We start from the raw sequence: 25671 nt of genomic DNA, 5'->3' as shown, positions 1-25671 counted from the left end.
ACAGTTTTGATATTTGTTCCCTCCAAATCTCATGTTGAAATGTGATCCCCAGTGTTGGAGGTGGGGCCTGGTGGTAGATGTTTGGGTCATAGGGGGCAGATCCCTTGGTGCTTTCCTCATGGTAATGAGTTCACAGGAGAGCTGGTTTTTTGTTTGTTTGTTTGTTTGTTTGTTTGTTGTTTTTTGAGACAGAGTCTCTGTCACCCAGGCTGGAACCCAACATCCACCTCCTGAGTTCAAGTGATTCTCGTGCCTCAGCCTCCTGAGTAGCTGGGACTACAGGTGCATACCACCATGCCTAGCTCATTTTTGCATTTTTAGTAGAGACAGGGTTTCACCATGTTGGCCAGTCTGGTCTCGAACTCCTGGCCTCAAGCGATCCAACCACCTCAGCCTCCCAAAGTGCTGGGATTACAGGTGTGAGCCACCACACCCAGCTGGAGCTGGTTGTTTAAATGAGCCTGGCACCTCCTCCCTCTCTCTTGCTTCCTCTCTTGCCATGTGGTATATACCTGCTCCCCCTTCACCTTCTGCCATGATTGTAAGTTCCTGAGGCTTTACCAGAAGTGGATGCTAGTACTGTGCTTCTTGTACAGCCTGTAGAACTGTGAGCCAAATAAACCTCTTTTCTTTATAAATTGCCCAGTCTCAGGTACTCGTTTATAGCAATGCCAAACAGACTAACACATTGGCCAAAAGCTCTTCCACTGGTTTTACCAAACCTAAAATTGACTCCTTTAAGTAAACACCAGTTATCTCCATTTGAAATTATAACAGACAGACTTATGAAATTCTCTCCTGGAAATTGCACCTCCTTAATAATAAAAGAAGATATATTCACTTATTAATGATCTTATGAAACAATTAACTAAAAATATTTGTTAAAGTGTTTCACATTGAGCTCCCAAGAGATGAAAATCTCAAGAACCACAGACTTCAACCTGGAGATTTTCTCATTGGAAACATCTTTTAAAGGACTCTCCAACCATGGTGGAATGGATCCTACCAAGTACTGCTTTCGAATCCTTGTGCAGCTAAATTAAAAGGCATAGACTCCTGGAATCTGTTTATCTAAAGAGGGCAAAACCTCCTGAATGGACTGTTACACCAGAAGGTGATCTTCAGTTTAAGCCAATGCCTGGACAAAAAGACGACAACATCAGAGATGGTCAGGTTTCCCAAGACATGAGACCAGTCCTATACCTAAATGAATGCTTATACTTACGTTATAGTAGCTGTAATTATTGTTGTCTTAGGAAGATAGATAATTGTTACCATCCTATGTAAAGTAGGACATTTGCCTTGTTTACTTTAACTAACTTCCTTAAATAATTTTTCCTTATAGTTGTCTCTCTGTCCCAATGCAAAGGATGGCATGTTAACACTTTGGTTAAGTTATCTCTAAGTATCACACTGGAGAAAACCTATCAGATTGTTGGATTTGTTATATGATTCCTAGCTTCATTCATGACCAATATAGGCCATAGTAACACCTGTCACTGACTTCTCAGATGTCCCTAAAGTTAAAGTCACCACTTATTTAGACTGACATCTTGCTGGATTAACTTTCCAGGTCTTACTACTGTATAACCCAAATACTGCTATCCCTTGTTTTAATTTGTCCCTTGTTTTTAATGGTAGAAATCCATTCTATATCATGAGACCTCCTCAATCCATGTGCTACTGGGTAAACAAATACACTCTAGATGATATGAACAAAGTTAAAGATAAGTCCTTACTATGCCAACCATACCTATATATAGGCTATGATATAAACAAATTCTGAAAAGCTTGCAAAGAAAGGAACCCATGGTTCAATTTGGTGTTGTCAGCATTCCCCATGAATGAATCTATTAGTGAGCACACCTTCAGGGGTACCACCTGTGCTCCCCCAGGACGTGTGTTTGTGTGTGACATGTGGTCTGAATCACCTACACAAAGATGGACACACCAATGCCTCAACAGATTACAAATAAAAGGTTTACACTTGCTGGAACATTTTCTAACCCCCTTATCCCTATACAAACATATAGAAGGACCCCCTTTTTCTCTTCATTATAGAGCTAAAAGGTCAATGTTAATAAGATATGTTGATAATATAGGTGAAAACATCCTGAGAATACCAATTCCAAATGCTAGAGTTTATGTCAACAGAGATATTATTCAAAACCTATTCACCACTATTGGTGAGATAGCTTAAGACACTGCAAAAAGTTTTATAGCTCAACAAAAATCTTTAAATTATTTAGCCCAGGTAGTACTGCTGTCCCCCATAGCTGGCCCTGAGTTCATGGGGCATGTGGTGGAGTGAACTAGAATAAAGACTGGAAAGGTAGGGTAGGCCACACCTGGAGGGTCTTCAATGCCAGGATAAGGAGTTGGAGCTTTATTCTGTAGGCAATGGGGCCATTGAAGGTTTCCCAGCAGCTGTGTCATGTATGAATTGGAACAGAATAGAGAGAAACAGTGCTGGGTGATGGGAGGATCTGGGTACTAAAGTTGAAAAGCTCTACATGCCAAGGACAGGCTTTTCTACAAAAAGAGAGGGCCCCACGCTCACCTTCTTTAAAACCTCTCCATATGATAAGTCACTCCCCTGGGAAGTGAGATAGAAACTTACTCCTCCACTGAAACGAGATATAGGACATTAATTAACACTCAAAAAGATTCATGATTCTTACCTTGCAGGATTATCTGAATATTAAATGAGATGAAGTATGCAAAGCACCCACCCTATAAGCAGCCTTTAATGAAAGGTAGTAGCAATAACTAGCATTGATTGAGCACTTAATCCTGTGCCAGTCACTGTGCTGGGCACTTTGCACACATTATCTTGTTTAATCCTCACTGCAACCTCATGAGGTTACATAATATCTAAGTTTAGAGGTGGAATCTGGCTCAGACTTGTTCAAGGCCGCATGAGTAACAAGTGAGGAACTAGGATTTGAACCCAGATATTTCTGTCCCCTGAACCAGAGTTCTCAACTGCTAAGCTCTTTTTCAGGGTACAGCTAAGCTTTAGGGATGTGAATGGAACCGTGGTGAGTTAGCAGGCTGGGTTGGAGAGGGAGAGCCAGCAGGCTGCAGTTTATACAGCAAGGCATCAGCCAGGCACAGTCGCTCACCTCTGTAATCCTAGCATTTTGGGGAGGCTGAGGTGAGAGGATCACTTGAGCCCGGCATGTTGAAGCTACAGTGAGCCGAAATGGCGTCACTGCATTCTAGCCTGGGTGACAGAAGAAGACACTGTCTCGAGAAAAAAAAAAAATAGCAGGGCATCCTCCAAGGTTTAGGTGCCCGCCATTGTTTCATTCTCACTTGCCTCTTATTACATTCTGAATTCCTGAGGTCTGAGCCTACTCTAATTCATCTTTGTAGCCCCAGGTCCTGGCCTGCTTTAGTCCCTCGGTGAATATGGGTTGAATGAATTAATTGAATGTCCTGAGTGCCTCCAAGAACAACCCTATCTCATTCCTCTCTGCCCCCTAGTTCCCAGCACAGGGTCTGGCATCTAGAGGGTCCTCATGTTTATGAACTGAATAGCCCCTCTGTGGACCCCAGACTCCTCATAAATCCAAAAATTCCTGATAAACCCCAAATCTTCTCTGAGAAGACTTTAGGCCTCAACTTCTTCCTATTGTTACTTCATCAGAAAATTATCTCCCACTAATCTCATCTTCACGGACAACTCAACCTTCCTAACTCACCATGTGCTTCTTGTTCTTGTTCTGTTTCAAAGATTGACTTAATCTCCTTTTAACATGTTGTGCTCTGGCAGCTCTCCAAAGGAGGCTCCAATCACAGGAGTCAGCCTTTCACTGACATTACTTCTAGTTCTATTAATAACCAGAAGGAAAGTATTATTAACTCCACCTTCCAGAGGAGGAAATGGAAAGGAAGAGCAAGCAATTTGCCTAACAAGCGGGAGAACTACAGTTAGAAGAAGTCCTGTTTATTCTAAAACCTGGACGCTTTTTCATTCCTCACCACTTCTAGAAAGCTAAAAAATTATTTTCAATTCAACTAGCAAATAGTTAATAATAAGGCCTTTCTATGGACCTAGCATTAAGGGAAAAGCATGTAGTAGCTTCACCCATTCTGGTGTGTGTGTGTGTGTGTGTGTGTGTATGTGTGTATTTGCTACTATACATCGAGCTCTCACTCTGACAGAGGCTGGACTCATCACAATGACCCAGTGGCTGCCTTCCAGTAATTCAGAGTCTAGTGGGGATATTTTGTTTACTTTTAAATTAACAGATCATAGAGTAGGTTAGTCAAGGTCCAGTTGTTTTAACAGAGAGTATAGAGAAATGTAAGCTAGGTTTAAATTGCTGACTTGGTAGCAGAAAAGTCAAGAATTACACACTTAAATATCATGGAGGTGGCAAGTGCAAGAAGCTGCCTCCATTCCTAGGTTTGGGGAACGAAGGGAGGAGGTTGGAATTATTAAAAGTAAGTGCTAAAGGAGGTTCTTGTGGGTCTGGAACCCAACCCCTGGGGACAGGGTCCTGATTGGCTGGTCCTGGTCCCTTTGAGGCTGATGGTGATGAGGATGGTTCTGCAAGGACTGGGAAAATGCAAACTGGATCCAGCTGCTGTTACAGAAAGGCAATGCTACTACAATGGCAGTGTTGCTGGGTGATGCGCCCAGGAAGAGGAAACTAGACATCCCTCCTCCCCTGTCTCTCTCCCTGTCTCTGTCTCTCCCTGTCTCTCCCTGTCTCTCTCCTCTCTCTCTCTCTCTCTCTCCTCTCTCTCTCTCTCTCTCCTCTCTCTCTCTCTCTCTCATCTCTTTCTCTCTCTCTCTCTCTCTCTCTCTCTCTCCTCTTTCTCCTTGAGCACATGCACAGATCCTAACATGGGGCCAGTGGGCAAAGCAGGAAAATATGGTTTGCATAGTCCCAGCCTATCTTAGTCTCTTTGGGCTACTATAACAAAATACCACAGAATGAGTATCTCAAATAACATTTATTTTTCACAGTTATGGAGGCTGAGAAGTCCAAGATCAAGGTGCCAGCTGATCTAGAGTCTGATGAGGACACTCTTCTTTGCAGACAGCTGTCTTCTCATTCTACGCTCATACAGTGGATTGCAGAGCACGAGGATGCAAGCTGTCTCTTGTCTCTTATGAAGGCACTAATCCCACTTATGAGGGCTCCACTCTCCTGACCTAATTACTTCCCCACCTCCTAATTCCATCCCACTGAGGATTAGGCTTCAACACATGGATTTGGGGAGGGACACAAATATTCAGTCCATAGCACAACCCCAGCATCCAAAGCTAAGTGCGGAAGGATGGGGTTGGAGCAAAGAGACAATAGCCTAGTAACTGACACACATGGTAAAGGCAAGGCTCTGGACTGGAAATTAGCATTCCCATGTCTGTATCCTGCCTCTTCCACTAACGTGCCATGCCACTTGAAGTAAGTCACTTGACTTCAACAACCTCAATTTCTTCTGCTGCAAAATGAGGGGGGCGGGGGCTGAACTCCTGCTTCTCACATTGTGCTTTGCAGGCCAGCAGCATTGGAATGACTTGGGGACTTGTTAGAAATGGAGTCTCAGCCCCCACCCAGAAGTCCTGCATCAGAATCCACATCTTAGCAAGATGCACAGGTGCAGTTGCATTTGAGAAGCTCTACTTCAAGAGCCCTGCCAACCAGGCCCATGCTAGGTAGGCATAAAAATGTGATGGAAAGGGATGGGGTTAACAGTTAGACAGGCTCGACCTGAATCCTCATTCTGCCATGGAAGCCTGGGGCAGTTGCTTAGTGTCTCTCAACTTTAATTTCCTCACCTGAAAAAGAAGGGAGAGGAGCAGAATTACACGAAACTCACAAGATTGTGATAAGGATGAAATGAAGGGCAGACACACCCAGCACCAGCAGGGACTCAGGATCATTTTGTAGACTCTACTGTAGAATCAGTGTGGGTCAGGACATCAGGGCAGGCCTCCTGAGAGCAAAATTGAAGCTGGGTCTCAAAGAATTCACAGGATGTGAACAGACAAACCAAAAAGACTGGAATCTGAAGGGACGTTTGTAAAACGTGAGACTGAGAGAGCTGTAACACAAACAGAGCTGACTCTTGAGACCCTTCGCAGAAATCAGAAGATCAGTGCCAAGGCGTCTTGCTTGAAAACTACATTTCTGCCTGCTAGACTTGCTGCCTAGACAGGTTTGGGAGCTTCTGCATGTAGGTGATGAGTGAGGTCACACCAGGAGTGGGGAATGTAAAGTTTTCAGAGAGCAATGGGCAAGAAGGGGACCCTGAGCCACACCAAGGCTGGGGCTGGGGTAGGGGCAGAGCCAGGCATGGGGCCAAGGGGTCAGACTGATGGAAGGAGGCTGCTGTTCACAGAGCCATGGGAGGACAGGGTTTCTGTTGCAGGAAGTCAGGGACCCCAAATGGAGGGACCAGCTGAAGCCATGGTGGAAGAACATAAATTGTGAAGATTTCATGGACACTTATCACTTCCCCAATCAATACCCTTGGGATTTCCTATGCCTGTCTTTACTTTAATCTCTTAATCCTGTCATCTCGTAAACTGAGGAGGATGTATGTCACCTCAGGACCCTGTGATGATTGCGTTAACTGCACAAATTGTAGAGCATGTGTGTTTGAACAATATGAAATCTGGGCACCTTGAAAAAAGAACAGGATAACAGCAATGTTCAGGGAACAAGAGAGATAACCTTAAACTCTGACTGCTGGTGAGCCGGGTGGAACAGAGCCATATTTCTCTTTTTTCAGAAGCAAATGGGAGAAATATCGCTGAATTCTTTTTCTCAGCAAGGAACATCCCTGAGAAAGAGAATGCCCCCCTGAGGGTAGGCCTCTAAAATGGCCCCCTTGGGTGTGGCCATCTTCTATGGTCGAAACTGTAGGGATGAAATAAGCCCCAGTCTCCCATAGCACTCCCAGGCTTATTAGGACAAGGAAATTCCCGCCTAATAAATTTTTGGTCAGACCAGTTGTCTGCTCTCAAACCCTGTCTCCTGATAAGATGTTATCAATGACAATGCGTGCCCGAAACTTCATTAGCAATTTTAATTTCGCCCCGGTCCTGTGGTCCTGTGATCTCACCCTGCCTCCATTTGCCTTGGGATATTCTATTACCTTGTGAAGCATGTGATCTCTGTGACCCACACCCTATTCGTACACTCCTTCCCCTTTTGAAATCACTAATAAAAATTTGCTGGTTTTATGGCTCAAGGGGCATCACAGAACCTACTGACATGTGATGTCTCCCCTGGATGCCCAGCTTTAAAATTTCTCTCTTTTGTACTCTGTCCCTTTGTTTCTCAATCCGGCCGATGCTTAGGGAAAATAGAAAAGAACCTACGTGACTATTGGGAGCAGGTTCCCCGATGGGTTTCAGGAGGAGAGAGGGACTGAGAAGGCAGGTGGGAGGACTGACAAGAGTGCACTGGATCTAGCAATTCTAAAGCCATTGGTGGCCTAGAAGCCAGTGATTAGCAGAGAGTCACAGGAGCTGAAGCAAGGCTACTGTGGGTATAGGAGCAAGGAAGTGGGAGCAGCCAGTATGGCCACTCCTCAGCCAAGGAACTTGTCTTTTTTATTTATTTATTTGTTTTAGATGGAGTCTCGCTCTGTTGCCCAGGCTGGTTGCAGTGTGGTGTGATCTTGTCTCACTGCAACCTCTGCCTCCCAGGTTCAAGCAATTCTTCTGCCTCAGCCTCCCTAGTAACTAGGATTACAGACATGTGCCACCAAGCCCGGCTAATTTTTGTATTTTTAGTAGAGACAGGGTTTCACCATGTTGGCCAGGCTGGTCTCAAACTCCTGACCTCAAGTGATCCTCCTGCCTCAGCCTCCCAGAGTGCTGGGATTACAGGCATGAGCCATTGTGCCCAGCCAAGAACTTGTCTTTAAGAGAAGGCAAGAGATGCTGGCTGGGCAAGGGGCTGATAGGATCCTTGAGGCACCTGGAGAAGACTGACTTAGCTGAGGTGTTTGCCTTTAACAGAGTCTTCCCAGGGGACATCTAGGGTTATGACATGTTCAGGCCAATTTACCAAATGAATACCAAAGATCAAATTAAGGTGTATTTCCACATTATGATTTCTCAACCCTTTTGTCTTCACAAACTAGCTGAGCAACATTACTGTGCTGGTGAGGAAAGGTAGGACTTGACTTTGGCAAAGGTATTATTTTGCAAAGGTGCTTGTTGTGTAAAGAGAAAATGAGACATGAGGGCAATGGTTGGGGTGGGGAGGGAGGGAGGCAGGATCAGGAGAGGGTTTTGTTGTTGCAAGAGCACATTTGAAGACAGGACAGAGAGATAATTGGGGTGAGTGGAGTTTGCGGGGAAGGGGATGTAAGAGCACATGTGAGGAATAATGAGAGGAGAGGCCCGGCTCCAGCTGGGTTAGCCTGTGACTGCCAGCAGAAGGAATTTGTCCTTGGCAGAGAGCAATGAAGCTGGTTGGGCAAAAGGCTGATAGGATTGTTGCTGCATGTAATGAAGATTAAGTTAGCTGGGGCGTCTGCCTTTAATTTGGCTGGGGAGTCTGCTCAGAGGATCTTGGGTTGACATTTAGTTTCAAGCCCACTTACTTGAGAATCATACTATGACTGTTCAACCCTATCATCTTCATAACTAGCTGAGCAACATTACTGTGCTGGTGAAGAAAGCTAGGACTTGATTTGGGCAAAGGTATTAACTCAGCCTGTTTCACAAATATAACTGTGTTGCTATTCACAATAGCAAAGACATGGAATCAACCTAAATGCCCATCAATGATAGACTGGATAAGGCAAATGTCATCCATATACACCACGGAATACTATGCAGCCATATAAAAGAATGCGATCATGTCCTTTGCAGGGACATGGATGGAGCTGGAGACCACTATTCTTACCAAAGTAACACAGAAACAGAAAACCAAATACCACATGTTTTCACTTTCAAGTGGGAGCTAAATAATCTAAATAATGAGAACACATGGACACTTAGAGAGGAACAACACACACTGGGGCCTGTTGGAGGGTGAGAGGAGGAAGAGGATCAGGAAAAACGACTAATGGGTACTAAGCTTGATATCTGGGTGATGAAATAATCTGTACAACAAACCCTATGACACAAGTTTACCTATGTAACAAACTTGCACCTGTAACCCTGAACTTAAAAGTTAAAATAAAATAAACATGCTGGTTTCTTTGGGGGATGAAACTGTCCTAAAATTAGAAATGGTGATGGTTGCACAACTCTGTAAATATACTAAAGAAGTATTGAACTGTACACTTTGAACAGGTGAATTTTATGATATACAAATTCTATCTCAATACGTGTTCTAAAAACAGCCTGTACAATGTGACACACTAAGCCAAGGGAAACAATTAGTTTTCCACCTACAATGAAAGAATGCTTTCTTCCTAGAGGCTCCAACTCTTTCAAGCTGCTACACACATTCTCACTAACGCCAACATCTGCCTCTACTAACCCTGCTAGTCCACACTCTGGGACCACTGCTAGGCTGAGTTTTCATTACTATGGAACAGAGTTCTAGTTATATGATACCTGACTTACTCACCATTGCATCCCTAGCACCTAGGAGACCACCTAACACATGAATGAAAAAATGACACAGCTGGAAAAAACATAAAGATTTATATTTAATGTCAATAACCCTAAGGACAAGAAAAGGAATGCTGAAAGAGGTTAACAAAATGGAGCACACTTAGCTAGTAAGTGGTAGTTAGTTCAGTCCAAAATGTATTTACTGAGCATCTGTGTAGAAAGTACTATTTGGCTGGGCGCGATGGCTCACGCCTGTAATCCCAACACTTTGGGAGGCCGAGGTGGGCGGATCATGAGGTCGGGAGATCGAGACCATCCCAGCTAACATGGTGAAACACCGTCTCTACTAAAAATACAAAAAAAAAATTAGCTGGGTGTGGTGGCGGGTGCCTGTAGTCCCAGCTACTTGGGAGGCTGAGGCAGGAGAATGGCATGAACCCAGGAGGCAGAGCTTGAAGTGAGCCAGGATGGCGCCACTGCACTCAGCCTGGGTGAGAGAGCAAGACTCCATCTCAAAAAAAATAAAACAAAACAAACAAAAAAAAAACCCCAGAAAGTACTATTCTAAGCACTGTGAGAAATACAAACGTAGGCTGGGCATAGTGCCTCACACCTGTAATCTCAGCACTTTGGGAGGCTCAGGTGGGCGGATCACCTGAGGTCAGGAGTTCCAGACCAGCCTGGCCAACATGGTGAAACCCCATCTCTATTAAAAATACAAAAATTAGCCAGGCGTGGTGGCCAACCCCTGTAATCCCAGCTACTCAGGAGGCTGAGGCAGGAGAATCACTTGAACCCAGAGGGCAGAGGTTGAAGTAAGCCAAGATTGTGCCACTGCACTCCAGCCTGGGTGACAGAGTGAGACCCTGTCTCAAATAAAAAGAAAGAAAGAAATACAAAGGTGATTAAGGTGAAGTCCCTACTCTCAACAAATAGGGGACATAAAACATGTTACCCACACAGGGGAAAGGAGCAAGACAGACACTGAAGGCTCTGAGCAGGGGGCCTTCTGTGCCTTGGTCTCATTTAGTCTTCACAGACACCATAGGAAAAGGATTTTATTATCCCCAACTTACAGACAAGGAATTTAATCTCAGGGACATGATACACTAATAAAAGGAAGATTCAGAACTCGAACCCAGGTCTAACTGGTGGCAAAACCTAAGCTCTTTTCATAACACCACTATAATTTTAAAAATAAAGGCAAAATGAGTTCAAAGGAATAAGTTGCTCACATCTCTTTGGGGATGGCAGGAAAGGTTTCATGAGAGAAGTAGTACTGGGTCACTGAAAATATTTGACAGCAAGCCAATTTGAGGGCAGGTGTGTGGAGATGGGTGGCCATTTTTGGATGGAGAAAATGCAGGAGAAATTGTGTCTATAAATAAAAGCCCACAACTCAGTTCAACTGGAACCAGAGTCCACATACTGGGGACTAGGTGGGACAAAGTGGGAGCAGGTGGGACAACCAAGGTGGGACAATAGTGGGGACAAGGTGGGAGCAGGAATTTGGGGCTGTATCATATGCAAGTCCTTGAAAGCCAAGAAGAGAAACTTGGACTTACTTTGAAGACAGTATTTCAGCAGGGGGATGATGCATAGTAATGCATAATCAGAATTAGGTTTTAGGGAGATCAGCCTGTCAGCGTATGTAGGCTGGCTTACCAAAGGGAGAGGAATTGGAGGCCAGGAATCTATTAAGAGGTTGTTGACGTAGTCCAGGGCCAGAAATAGTTGGTGTGCAATGGGATTGGAAAGGTGACAATGATGTTCATTGCTATAATGTACATGTGTCTAGATGCAACCCATCTATATTACAATTTTATAATTGCTGAACACATATGTTTAGTAGTAAAAACAGAGATATTTATTGAGTACTTGCTTGTACTGGCCACTTTGCTAAGTGCTTTATAAGCACTAATTTATTTTCTACGAATAGCAGCCTTTTTAAGTGGATGCTATTATTATACCTATTGTAAAGATGAGGAAATTGAGGCTTAGAGAGAGTAGAAATACACACAAGGTCATATAATGAGTAATTGCATAGACAGAGCTCAACCCAGATTTGTTTGACTCCAAAGTCCATCATACTCACCACACTACCTACTCAGCCCTCGTGGCCACCTCTTCCTGGCTCAGCCTCCTCCAAATTAGCAATATTTATATGGAACTTTCAGAGCATTCTGAGAAAATGGAAATAGCATGAGCTCCAGAGTGCCACAGACTTGAGTGTGGGATCCTGGCTCAGTTACTCACAAGCCAAGTGATACTGGGTATGTTTGTTACTTGGCCTACCTGAGCTGATTTTCTTTCTGTAAAACGGAGAGAGCAGACCTGCTTCCCAGTGAGAGACAGGACTAGCTGGATTTCCTAGGTGGACTAAGAATCCCTAAGCCCAGCTGGGAAGGTCACCGCATCCACCTTTAAACATGGGGCTTGCAACTTAGCTCACACCAGAGAGAGCTCACTAAAATGTTGATTAGGCAAAAACAGGAGGTAAAGAAATAGCCAATCATCTATCACCTGAGAGCACAGCGGGAGGGACAATGATCGGGATATAAACCCAGGCATTCGAGCCAGCAACGGCTACCCTCTTTGGGTCCCCTCCCTTTGTATGGGATCTCTGTTTTCACTCTATTAAATCTTGCAGCTGCACTCTCTTCTAGTCCATGTTTGTTACGGCTGGAGCTGAGCTTTCGCTCGCCGTCCACCACTGCTGTTTGCCGCTGTCACAGACCCTCCACTGACTTCTATCCCTCTGAATCCGGCAGGGTGTCTGCTGTGCTTCTGATCCATTACCACTCCTGATTGGGCTGAAGGCTTGCCATTGTTCCTGCATGGCTAAGTGCCGGGGTTCATCCTAATCAAGCTGAACACTAGTCACTGGGTTCCACAGTTCTCTTCCGTGACCCACAGCTTCTAATAGAGCTATAACACTCACCGCATGGCCCAAGATTCCATCTCTTGGAATCCGTGAGGCCAAGAACCCCAGGTCAGAGAACAAGAGGCTTGCCACCATCTTGGAAGAGGCCCGCCACCATCTTGGGAGCTCTGGGAGCAACGACCCCCCAATAACATTTTGGCAACCATGAAGGGACCTCCAAAGCAGTGAGTAATAATTGGACCACTTTCACTTGCTATTCTGTCCTATCATTCCTTAGAATTGGAGGAAAATAACCGGGCACCTGTCGGCCAGTTAAAAACGATTAGCGTGGCCACTGGACTTAAGATTCAGGTGTGAGTATTAAGGGCTCTCTAACAACCCCCAACCCTTCTGGGTTGGGAGCATTCATCTGCCTAGAACCACCTTCCACTTTCAATATTCTTGGGGAAGCCCAGAGCCGACTAGAGGCAGAAAGCTGTTGTCTCAAACTCCCGGCATTAGCCGGTTGAGATCATGGCACAGCCAGAAGTCTCTACTCAACAGTCACCCATGCGTGCGCCCCTACCTTTCCTTCTGACCCATACCTCCTGGGTCCCGACCACGACTTCTTGAAAGTATAGCCCCAAAATTCTTCTTACCTCTGAATGTACTTCCTCTGATCCCTGCCTCCTAGGTACTAATGGTTCAGACTTATATTTCCTCTGGCAAGTTGTATCTCCAAAGGGATCTAAGGAAGCTCTATTCTGAGTTCTTAGGCCCCTAGGCTATAAACCCAAGGAGTCTTATCCCTGGTGTCCCTCCCGATTTAGTTATACAGCTCTTGACATGGGCAGTTATGTGGGACCCGTTCCCCACCACCCTTGCCAGGGCCCCAAGTTTGTAATGGCTAAGAGGAGAGAGAGATGGAGGAGGGAGGGAGAGGGAGGGGAGGGAGAGAGACAAAGAAAAAGAAATAGTTAAAAAACAAAAACAAAAAAAACATTGTGCCCTATTCCTTTAAAAGCCAGGGTAAATTTAAAACCTATAATTGATAATTGAAGATCTTCTCCATGACCCTGTAACACTCCAGTACTACCTGTCAGTGTAAACAAGGGCATAGCCTGAAAACACTGAGACCACTGACAACCTGTAGACTTCCTATTAAAAATCCTTAACCCGGTAACCTGTGGGTGGCCCAAATGCATTCAATCTGTAGTGGCAACTGCTTTGCTAACAGAAGAAAGTAGAGAAGTAACTTTTAGAGGAAAACTCATTGTGAGCACACCTCACCAGTTCAGAATTATTCTAAGTCAAAAAAAGCAAAAAGGTAGCTTACTAACTCAAAAATCTTAAAGTATGGGGCTATTCTGTTGGCAAAAGGTGATTTAACACTAACCACTGATAATTCCCCTAACCCAGCAGATTTCCTAATGGGATTTAAATCTTAATTACCATACAAAGGTCCAACCAGACCTAGGAGGAACTCCCTTCAGGACAGGACAATATATGGTTCCTTCCAGGTGATTGAGGAAAAAACCACAAACGATATTCAGTAATTGATAGGGAGACTCTTGTGGAAGCAGAATTGGAAGAATTGCCTAATAATTGGTCTCCTCAAACATGGGAGCTGTTTGCACTCAGCCAAGCCTTAAAGTACTTACAGAATCAAAAAAGACTCTCAATCCTGACTCAAAAGGTTACTTACACCCTCTCTGAAATGAATTTGCATAAGAACAGTTGCTTATGGGAATGCATCTTGATGGGGCAGCTGGGTTGTTATGAAATACTCAGGTACCCAGCCCAGCTCTAGGACTCACCCCTGAGCACAAACGCAATGTTGGGCACGCTGGTAAAGGACCACTAGAATCCAGCAGCCTGGACCCCTTTCTTTGTGTCAAGGAAGGTGGGAAAACAGGTGCAGGACTGCTACATTGGTGAGCGTAACTAATCCGATAAGCAGAGGTCCATGGGTTGTTACGCACCCTGGAAAGGAATAAGCATTAGGACCACAGAGGACGCTCTAGGACTAATGCTCATCAGAAAATGACTAGGGGTGCTGTCATCCCTATGTTCTTTTTTCAGATGGGAAACGTTCCCCCCAAGGCAAAAACGCCCCTAAGATGTATTCTGGAGAATTGGGACCAATTTGACCCTCAGACGCTAAGAAAGAAATGACTTATATTCTTCTGCAGTCCTGCCAGGCCACAATATACTCTTCAAGAGGGAGAAACCTGGCCTCCTGAGGGAAGTAAAAATTATAACACCATCTTACAGCTAGACCTCTTTTGTAGAAAAGAAGGCAAATGGAGTGAAGTGCCATATGTACAAACTTTCTTTTCATTAAGAGACAACTCGCAATTTTGTAAAAAGTGTGATTTATGCCCTACAGGAAGCCTCAGAGTCTACCTCCCTACCGGAGCATCCCACTGACTCCTTCCCCAACTAATAAGGACCCCCCCTTCACCCCAAGTGGTCCAAAAAGAGATAGACAAAGGGGTAAACAATGAACCAAAGAGTGCCAATATTCCCTGATTATGCCCCCTCCAAGCAGTGGGAGGAGGAGAATTCAGCCCAGCCAGACTGCATGTACCTTTTTCTCTCCCAGACTTAAAGCAAATTAAAATAGACCTAGGTAAATTCTCAGATAACCCTGATGGCTATATTGATGTTTTACAAGGGTTAGGAGAATCCTTTGATCTGATGTGGAGAGAGATAATGTTACTGCTAGATCAGACACTAACCCCAAATGAGAGAAGTGCCACCATAACTGCAGCCCGAGAGTCTGGCGATCTCTGGTGTCTCAGTCAGGTCAATGATAGGATGACAACAGAGGAAAGAGAATGATTCCCCATAGGCCAGCAGGCAGTTCCCAGTGTAGACCCTCACTGGGACATAGAATCAGAACATGGAGATTGGTGCTGCAGACATTTGCTAACTTGTGGGCTAGAAGGACTAAGGAAAACTAGGAAGACTATGAATTATTCAATGATGTCCACTATAACACAGGGAAAGGAAGAAAATCCTACTGCCTTTCTGCAGAGACTTGAAAGGCATTGAGGAAGCATACCTGTCTGTCACCTGACTCTATTGAAGGCCAACTAATCTTAAAGGAAAAGTTTATCACTCAGTCAGCTGTGGACATTAGAAAAAAACTTCAAAAGTCACCTTAGACCCGGAGCAAAACTTAGAAACCCTATTGAACTTGGTAACCTCAGTTTTTTATAATAGAGATCAGGAGGAGCAGGTGGAATGGGACAAGAGGGATAAAACAAAAGCCACCGCTTTAGTCATGGCCTTCAAGCAAGCGGACTTTGGAGGCTCTGGAAAAGGGAAAAGCTGGGCAGATTGAATGCCTAACAAGGCTTGCTTCCAGTGCGGTCTATAAGGACATTTTAAAAAAGATTGTCCAAGTAGAAATAAACCGCCCCCTCATCCATGCCCCTTATGTCAAGGGAATCACTGGAAGGCCCATTGCCCCAGGAGACGAAGGTCCTCTGAGTCAGAAGCCACTAACCAGATGATCCAGCAGCAGGACTGAGGGTGCCCGGGGCAAGTGCCAGCCCATGCCATCACCCTCACAGAGCCCTGGGTATGCTTGGCCATTGAGGGCCAGGAGGTTAACTGTCTCCTGGACACTGGCACGGCCTTCTCAGTCTTACTCTTCTGTCCTGGACAACTGTCCTCCACATCTGTCACTATCCAAGGGGTCCTAGGACAGGCAGTCACTAGATACTTCTCCCAGCCACTAAGTTGTGACTGGGGAACTTTACTCTTTTCACATGCCTTTCTAATTATGCCTGAAAGCCCCACTCCCTTGTTAGGGAGAGACATTGTAGCAAAAGCAGGGGCCATTATACATCTGAACGTAGGAAAAGGAACACCTGTTTGTTGTCCCCTGCTTGAAGAAGGAATTAATTCTGAAGTCTGGACAACAGAAGGACAATATGGGCGAGCAAAGAATGCCCATCCTGTTCAAGTTAAACTAAAGGATTCCACCTCCTTTCCCTACCAAAGGCAGTACCCGCTTAGACCCAAGGCCCAACAGGGACTCCAAAAGATCGTTATGGACCTAAATGCCCAAGGCCTAGTAAAACCATGCAATAGCCCCTGCAATACTCCAATTTTAGGAGTACAGAAACCCAACAGGCAGTGGAGGTTAGTGCAAGACCTCAGGATTATCAATGAGGCCATTGTCCCTCTATACCCAGCTGTACCTAACCCTTACACTCTGCTTTCCCAAATACCAGAGGAAGCAGAGTGGTTTACAGTCCTGGACCTTAATGATGCCTTTTTCTGCATCCCTGTACATCCTGACTTTCAATTCTTATTTGCCTTTGAAGATCCTTCAAACCCAACGTCTCGACTCACCTGGACTGTTTTACCTCAAGGGTTCAGGGATAGCCCCCATCTATTTGGCCAGGCATTAGCCCAAGACTTGAGCCAATTCTCATACCTGGACATTCTTGTCCTTTGGTGCATGGATGATTTACTTTTAGCCACCCATTCAGAAACCTTGTGCCATCAAGCCACCCAAGCACTCTTAAATATCCTTGCTACCTGTGGCTACAAGGTTTACAAACCAAAGGCTCAGCTCTGCTCACAGCAGGTTAAATACTTAGGGCTAAAATTATCCAAAGGCACCAGGGCCCTCAGTGAGGAATGTATCCAGCCTATGCTGGCTTATCCTCATCCCAAAACCCTAAAGCAACTAAGAAGGTTCCTTGACATAACAGGTTTCTTCCGAATATGGATTCCCAGGTACGGCAAAATAGCCAGGCCATTATATATACTAATTAAGGAAACTCAGAAAGCCAATACCCATTTACTAAGATGGACACCTGAAGCAGAAGCGGCTTTCCAGGCCCTAAAGGAGGCCCTAACCCAAGCCCCAGTGTTAAGCTTGCCAACGGGGCAAGAATTTTCTTTATATGTCACAGTAAAACACAGGAATAGCTCTAGGAGACCTTACACAGGTCCGAGGGATGAGCTTGCAACCCATGGCATACCTGAGCAAGGAAATTGATGTAGTGGCAAAGGGTTGGCCTCATTGTTTATGGGTAGTGGCAGCAGTAGCAGTCTTAGTATCTGAAGCAGTTAAAATACAGGGAAGAGATCTTACTGTGTGGTCATCTCATGATGTGAACGCCATACTCATTGCTAAAGGAGACTTGTGGCTGTCAGACAACTGTGAGGAAAGTAACTAAAATCATAAATCCCCATGGCTCTCCCTTATCGTATTTTTCTCTTTACTGTTCTCTTACCCCCTTTCACTCTCACTGCACCCCCTCCATGCCACTCTATGACCAGTAGCTCCCCTTACCAAGAGTTTCTTGGAGAATGCAGCTTCCCGGAAATATTGATGCCCCATTGTATAGGAGTTTATCTAAGGGAACCTCCACCTTCACTGCCCACACCCATATGTCCCGCAACTGCTATAACTCTGCCACTCTTTGTATGCATGCAAATACTCATTATTGGACAGGGAAAATGATTAATCCTAGTTGTCCTGGAGGACTTGGAGCCACTATCTGTTGGACTTACTTCACCCATACCGGTATGTCTGATGGGGGTGGAGTTCAAGATCAGGCAAGAGAAAAACACGTAAAGGAAGTAATCTCCCAACTGACCCAGGTACATAGTACTCCTAGCCCCTACAAAGGACTCAATCTCTTAAAACTACATGAACCCCTCCGTACCCATACTCACCTGGTAAGCCTATTTAATACCACCCTCACTGGGCTCCATGAGGTCTCGGACCAAAACCCTACTAACTGTTGGATGTGCCTCCCCCTGCACTTCAGGCCATACATTTCAGTCCCTGTACCTGAACAATGGAATAACTTCAGCACAGAAATAAACACCACTTCCATTTTAGTAGGACCTCTTGTTTCCAATCTGGAAATAATCCATACCTCAAACCTCACCTGTGTAAAATTTAGCAATACTATAGCAACAGCCAACTCCCAATGCATCAGGCGGGTTACTCCTCCCACGCGAATAGTCTGCCTAACCTCAGGAATATTTTTTGTCTGTGGTACTTCAGCCTATCGTTGTTTGAATGGCTCTTCAGAATCTATGTGCTTCCTCTCATTCTTAGTGCCCCTATGACCATCTACACTGAACAAAATTTATACAATCATGTTGCACCTAAGCCCCGCAACAAAAGAGTACCCATTCTTCCTTTTGTTATTGGAGCAGGAGTGCTAGGCGGACTAGGTACTGGCCCTGGCGGTATCACAGCATCTACTCAGTTCTACAAACTATCTCAAGAACTAAATGGTGACATGGAACGGGTCGCTGACTCCCTGGTCACATTGCAAGATCAACTTAACTCCCTAGCAGCAGTAGTCCTTCAAAATCAGACAGCTTTAGACTTGCTAACCGCCGAAAGAGGGGGAATCTGTTTATTTTATTTTATTTTATTTTATTTTATTTTATTTATTTATTTATTTATTTTGAGACGGAGTCTCGCTCTGTCACCCAGGCTGGAGTGCAGTGGCACAATCTTGGCTCACTGCAACCTCCGCCTCCCGGGTTCACACCATTCTCCTGCCTCAGCCTCCTGAGTAGCTGGGACTACAGACTCCCACCACCATGCCCGGCTAATTTTTTGTATTTTTGGTAGAGATTGGTTTCACCATGTTAGCCAGGATGGTCTCCATCTCCTGACCTCGTGATAACCCCACCTCGGCCTCCCAAAGTGCCGAGATTAAAGGCGTGAGCCACCACGTCCTGCCGGAACCTGTTTATTTTTAGGGGAAGAATGCTGTTATTATGTTAATCAATCCAGAATCGTCACCGAGAAAGTTAAAGAAATTTGAGATTGAACATAATGTAGAGCAGAGGAGCTTCAAAACACCAGAACCTGCGGCCTCCTCAGCCAATGGATGCCCTGGATTCTCCCCTTCTTAGGACCTTTAGCAGCTATAATATTGTTACTCCTCTTTGGACTCTATATCTTCAACCTCCTTGTTAAGTTTGTCTCTTCCAGAATTGAAGCTCTAAAGCTACAAATTGTTCTTCAAATGGAGCCCCAGATGCAGTCCATGACTAAAATCTACCACGGACCCCTGGGCCGGCCTGCTAGTCCATGCTCTGATGTTAATGACATCGAGGGCAATCCTACCAAGGAAATCTCAACTGCACCACCCCTACTATGCCCCAATTCAGCAGGAAGCAGTTAGAGGTTGTCGGCCAACCTCCCCAACAGCACTTGGGTTTTCCTGTTAAAGAGGGGGAACTGAGAGACAGGACTAGCTGGATTTCCAAAGCCAACTAAGAATCCCTAAGCTAGCTGGGAAGGTGACCGCATCCACCTTTAAACATGGGGCTTGCAACTTAGCTCACACCCAACCAATCAAGTAGTAAAGAGAGCTCACTAAAATGCTAATTAGGCAAAAACAGGAGGTAAAGAAATAGCCAATCATCTATCACCTGAGAGCACAGCGGGAGGGACAATGATCGGGATATAAACCCAGGCATTCGAGCTGACAATGGCTACCCTCTTTGGGTCCCCTCCCTTTGTATGGGAGCTCTGTTTTCACTCTATTAAATCTTGCAACTGCAATTCTTCTGGTCCCTGTTTGTTACAGCTGGAGCTGAGCTTTCGCTCGCTGTGCACCACTGCTGTTTGCCACCGTCACAGACCCGCCACTGACTTTCATCCCTCCAAATCTGGCAGGGTGTCCACTGTGCTCCTGATCCAGCAAGGCACCCATTGCCGCTCCTGATCGGGCTAAACGCTTGCCATTGTTCCTGCATGGCTCAGTGCCCGGGTTCATCCTAATCGAGCTGAACACTAGTCACTGGGTTCCACGGTTCTCTTCCATGACCCACGGCTTCTAATAGAGCTATAACACTCACCGCATGGCCTAAGATTCCATCCCTTGGAATCCGTGAGGCCAAGAACCCCAGGTCAGAGAACACGAGGCTTGCCACCATTTTGGAAGTAGCCCGCCACCATCTTGGGAGCTCTGGGAGAAACGACCCCCCGGTAACACCAGAGCTATTGTGAAGACTTAAAGTAAGAACATATGGAACATTCCTAGGCGGTGTGGCACGTGATAACTAACGTGCAATAAGTGGCAGTTGCTGATTAATAATAAAAAGGCATCCAGACCAGGCTGACAGGAGGACAGGAGATCAAATCACTCCATCTGTTACCTACCTCGGCATAATTCTTCATAAAAACACATGTGGTCTCCCTGCCGATCGTGTCCTACTGATCTCTCAAACCCCAACACCTTCTACAAAGCAACTTCTTTCCTTCCTAGGCATGGTTAGATACTTTTGACTTTGGATACCTGGTTTTGCCTCTGCCCAGGACTGGCAAATTGACTTTACTCACATGCCCCAAGTCAAAAAACTAAAATACCTCTTGCTCTGGGTAGACACTTTCACTGGATGGGTGGAGGCCTTTCCCACAGGGTCTGAAGGCCACCGCGGTCATTTCTTCCTTTCTGTCAGATATAATTCCTTGGTTTGGCCTTCCCACCTCTATACAGGCTGATAACGGACCAGCCTTTACTAGTCAAATCACCCAAGCAGTTTCTCAGGCTCTTGGTATTCAGTGGAAACTTCATATCCCTTATCATCCTCAATCTTCAGGAAAGGTAGAACGGACTAATGGTCTTTTAAAGACACACCTCCCCAAGCTCAGCTTCCATCTTAAAAAGGACTGGACAGTACTTTTACCTCTTGCCCTTCTCAGAATTAGAGCCTGTCCTTGAGATGCTACAGGGTACAGTCCATTTGAACTTTTATATGCACGCACTTTCTTGCTCAGTCCCAACCTCATCCCAGACACCAGCCCTGTAGGCGACTATCTTCCAGTTCTCCAGCAGGCTAGACAGGAAATCCACCAGGCTGCTAATCTTCTCTTGCCTACTCCAGATTCTCAGCCATACAAAGACACCCTAGCTGGACGATCAGTTCTGGTTAAGAATCTGACCCCTCAAACTCTACAACGTCGTGGACAGGACCCTATTTAGTCATCTATAGTACCCCAACTGCTGTCTGCCTGCAGGATCCTTCCCACTGGGTTCACCATTCCAGAATAAAGCTGTGTCCGTCGGACAGCCAGCCTAATCCCTCCTCTTCCTCCTGGAAGTCGCAAGTATTCTCCCCTACTTCCCTTAAACTCACTCATATTTCTGAAGAACAGTAATAACCCTTGTGAGCCTAATACATCCCTTCATTCTATTAGGTCTGTTCATCCTTACCCTACTTTTTGCAACAGGGCTTTATGAAGTCACCCCCACTACTTGGACCGAACCCCAAAAACTAGTCATCCCTACTATCTTCTGTCTAGTCATACTCCTATTCACTGTTCTCAACTACTTATAAATGTCCTACTCTTGTCTACACTGCCAGTTTACACTGTTTCTCCATGCCATCACAGCTGATATCTCTTGGTGCTATCCCCAAACTGCCACTCTTAACTCCCTCTTAGAGTGGATAGATGATCTTTGCTGGCAGGGGACCCTCCAATACTTTCACCCTGATGAAGTTCTATTCTTTACTTTTATACTCACTGTGATTCTCATTCCCATTCTTATGCCACCCTCTACCTCTCCCCAGCTATCTCCACCACACTATCAACCTTACCCATTCTCTCCTAGCTGTTTCTAAACCTTCCTTAGCAAACAACTGCTGGCTTTGCATTTCTCTTTCTTCCAGCGCCTACACAGCTGTCCCCGCCTTACATACAGACTGAGCAACATCTTCTGTCTCCCTATGCCTCCTAACTTTAACAGCCCTCACGTTTACCTTCGTGAAGAACTCATTTACTTTCTAGATAGGTCCAGCAGGACCTCCCCAGACATTTCACATCAGCAAGCTGCTGCCCTCCTTCACACTTACTTAAAAAACCTTTCTCCTTATATCAACTCTACTCCCCCCGTATTTGGACCCCTCACAACACAAACTACTATTCCACTCATTTATGTATCTCTCGGCAAAGACCCACTGGAATTCCCCTGGGTAACTTTTCACCTTCTCAATGTTCCTTTACTCTTCATTTCCAAAGCCCAACTATACACATCACTGAAACAATTGGAGCCTTCCAGCTCCATATTACAGATAAGCCCTCTATCAATACTGGCAAACTTAAAAACATTAGCAGTAATTATTGCTTAGGAAGACGCTTACCTTGTATTTCACTCCATCCTTGGCTACCTTCCCCTTGCTCATCAGACTCTCCTCCCAGGCCCTCTTCTTGTTTACTTAGTAAACAAGCCCTGAAAATAACAGTGAAAATTTGCTCATAGACACTCAACGTTTTCTCCTACACCATGAAAATCGAACCTCCCCCCCTACGCAGTTACCTCCTCAGTCCCCATTACAACCTCTGATGGCTGCTGCCCTAGCTGGATCCCTAGGAGTCTGGGTACAAGACACCCCTTTCAGCACTCCTTCTCATCTTTTTACTTTGCATCTCCAGTTTTACCTCGCACAAGGTCTCTTCTTCCTCTGTGGATCCTCTACCTACATGTGTCTACCTGCTAATTGGACAGGCACATGCACACTAGTTTTCCTTACTCCCAAAATTCAATTTGCACATGGGACCTAAGAGCTCCCTTTTCCCCTCATGACATCGACATGACAAAAAAGAGTTATTCTAGTAATTCCCTTGATGGTCGGTTTAGGACTGTCTGCCTCCATTATTGCTCTCGGTACTGGAATAGCAGGCATTTCAACCTCTGTCATGACCTTCCGTAGCCTGTCTAATGACTTCTCTGGTAGCATCAGAGACATATCACAAACTTTATCAGTCCTCCAGGCCCAAGTTGACTCTTTAGCTGCAGTTATCCTCCAAAACCGCCGAGGCCTTGACTTACTCACTGCTGAAAAAGGAGGACTCTGTATATTTTTAAATGAAGAGTGTTGTTTTTACCCAAATCAATCTGGCCTGGTATATGACAACATAAAAAAACTCAAGGATAGAGCCCAAAAACTTGCCAACCAAGCAAGTAATTACGCTGAACCCCCTTGGGCACTCTCTAATTGGATGTCCTGGGTCCTCCCAATTCTCAGTCCTTTAATACCTACTTTTCTCCTTCTTTTATTCGGACCTTGTATCTTCTGTTTAGTTTCTCAATTCATCCAAAACTGTATCCATGGCATCACCAATCATTCTATATGACAAATGCTCCTTCTAACAACCCCACAATATCACCCCTTACCACAAAATCCTCCTTCAACTTGACCTCTCCCACTGTAGGTTCCCATGCCACCCCTAATCCGCAGCCCTGAGAAACATCGCCCATTATCTCTCCATGCCACCCCCCCCAAAAAAAATTTTTTTTGCTGCCCCAACACTTCAATACTATTTTATGTTATTTTTCTTATTAATGTAAGAAGGCAGGGGCCAGGTGCAGTGGCTCACACCTGTAATCCCAGCACTTTGGGAGGCTGAGGCAGGTGGATCATGAGGTCAGGAGATCGAGACCATCCTGGCTAACACGATGAAACCCCTTCTCTACTAAAAATACAAAAAATTAGCCAGGCGTGGTGGCGGGCGCCTGTAGTCCCAGCTATTCAGGAGGCTTAGGCAGGAGAATGGCATGAACGCGGGAGGCGGAGCTTGCAGTGAGCCGAGATCGCGCCACTGCACTCCAGCCTGGGCGACAGAGTGAGACTCCGTCTCAAAAAAGAAAAAAAAAAAAAAAAAGAAGGCAGGAATGTCAGGCCTCTGAGCCCAGGCTAAGCCATCGCATCCCCTGTGACCTGCACGTATATGCCCAGATGGCCTGAAGTAACTGAAGAATCAGAAAAGAAATGAAAATGGCCTGTTCCTGCCTTAACTGATGACATTCCACCATAAAAGAAGTGCAAATGGCCGGTCCTTGCCTTAACTGATGACACTGTCTTGTGAAATTCCTTCTCCTGGCTCATCCTGGCTCAAAAAGCACCCCCACTGAGCATCTTGTGACCCCCACTCCTGCCCGCCAGAGAACAACCCCCACTTTGACTGTAATTTTCCTTTACCTACCCAAATCTCATAAAATGGCCCCACCCCTATCTCCCCTTCGCTGACTCTCTTTTCGGACTCAGCCTGCCTGCACCCAGGTGAAATAAACAGACTTGCTGCTCACACAAAGCCTGTTTGGTGGTCTCTTCACACAGATGCGAGTGAAAGCAAGGGCCAATTAAGAGCACTGCCTGCATTAAGAGCACAGAGAAGGGAGATGGAATAGTCATCTTCAAATGCATACAGCGTTGTCAAGTGGGGGAGACTGTGGCTCAAGAGGGCAGAACTGGGACTAAGGAGATTAGTCTGCAGTTTCCAACTACCTGAGGTAACTCACATGGAAACGTGTTTTGTTTTGTTTTGTTTTAGACAGAGTTGCTTTGTCACCCAGGCTGGAGTAGCTGTGATTACAGATATGTGCCACCGTGCTTGGCTAATTTTTGTATTTTTAGTAGGGACGGGGTTTCTCCATGTTCGCCAGGCTGGTCTCGAACTCCTGATCTCAGGTGATCCGCCTGCCTCAGCCTCCCAAAGTGCTGGAATTACAGGCATGAGCCACCACACCCGGCTGGGTCTCAGTTAATTTAGACAGTTTATTTTGTCAATGTTGAAGAAATGTACCCATTATACAGCCTCAGGAAATCCTGATGACATGTGCCCAAGGTGGTTGGGGCACAGCTTGGTTTTAAACATTTTAGAGAGACATGAGACATCAGTCAATATATGTAAGAAGTACATTGGTTTGGTCTGGAAAGGCGGGACAACTTGAAGCAAAGGCAGGAAGACTCTAAGTGAAAGTGGGAGGGAGCTTCCAGGTCACTCATAGGGGAGAGACAAATAGTTGCATTCTTTTGAGTTTCTGATTAGCCTTTCCAAAGGAGGCAATCACATATGCATTTATCTCAGTGAACAGAGATAACTTTGAATAGAACGGGAGGCAGGTTTTGTCCTGAGCAATTTCCAGCTTGAGTTTTCCTTGTAGCTTAGTGATCTTGGGGCCCCAAGATCTTTTCCTTTCACTACAGTTAATTCTTGTTTTTTGTTTTTGTTTTGTTTTGTTTTGTTTTTTGAGACAGAGTCTTGCACTGTTACCCAGGTGGAGTGCAGTGGCATCATCTCTGCTCACTGCAAGCTCTGCCTCCCGGGTTCACACCATTCTCCTGCCTCAGCCTCCCAAGTAGCTGGGACTACAGTCGCCCGTCACCACACCCGGCTAATTTTTTTGTATTTTTAGTAGAGATGGGGTTTCACCGTGTTAGCCAGGATGGTCTCAATCTCCTGACCTCGTGATCC

At 45.4% G+C, this 25671-nt stretch overlaps 1 long non-coding RNA gene across 3 annotated transcripts in view, besides 2 other annotated features; it reads right to left on the bottom strand.

Annotated features, from left to right (window-relative positions):
- The window catches only part of LOC124904184 (uncharacterized), a 72878-nt gene that overhangs the window by 42628 nt on the left and 4579 nt on the right, over positions 1-25671 (bottom strand). For 2 of the 3 annotated variants that reach the window (XR_007066103.1, XR_007066101.1), the window contains exon 2: positions 22557-22645. This is a non-coding gene — a long non-coding RNA (uncharacterized LOC124904184). Of the gene's footprint in view, positions 1-4949; positions 5798-22556; positions 22646-25671 lie in introns of those variants that run through there. The other variant, XR_007066102.1, reaches the window with a different exon arrangement.
- Positions 24011-24571: an enhancer, noted in NCBI's record as "NANOG-H3K27ac hESC enhancer chr1:55372517-55373077 (GRCh37/hg19 assembly coordinates)". NCBI's record gives its function as "activates a minimal SCP1, AML or CMV promoter by ChIP-STARR-seq in naive H9 embryonic stem cells {active_cell/tissue: H9 hESC(naive)}" and the evidence as "EXISTENCE:reporter gene assay evidence [ECO:0000049][PMID:30033119]".
- Positions 24572-25134: an enhancer, noted in NCBI's record as "H3K27ac hESC enhancer chr1:55371954-55372516 (GRCh37/hg19 assembly coordinates)". NCBI's record gives its function as "activates a minimal SCP1, AML or CMV promoter by ChIP-STARR-seq in naive H9 embryonic stem cells {active_cell/tissue: H9 hESC(naive)}" and the evidence as "EXISTENCE:reporter gene assay evidence [ECO:0000049][PMID:30033119]".

This window comes from Homo sapiens, chromosome 1 (genome assembly GCF_000001405.40).
Source record: "Homo sapiens chromosome 1, GRCh38.p14 Primary Assembly".
Classification (NCBI taxonomy): Eukaryota; Metazoa; Chordata; class Mammalia; order Primates; family Hominidae; genus Homo; species Homo sapiens.
This window is presented reverse-complemented; position numbering and strand designations above follow the sequence as displayed.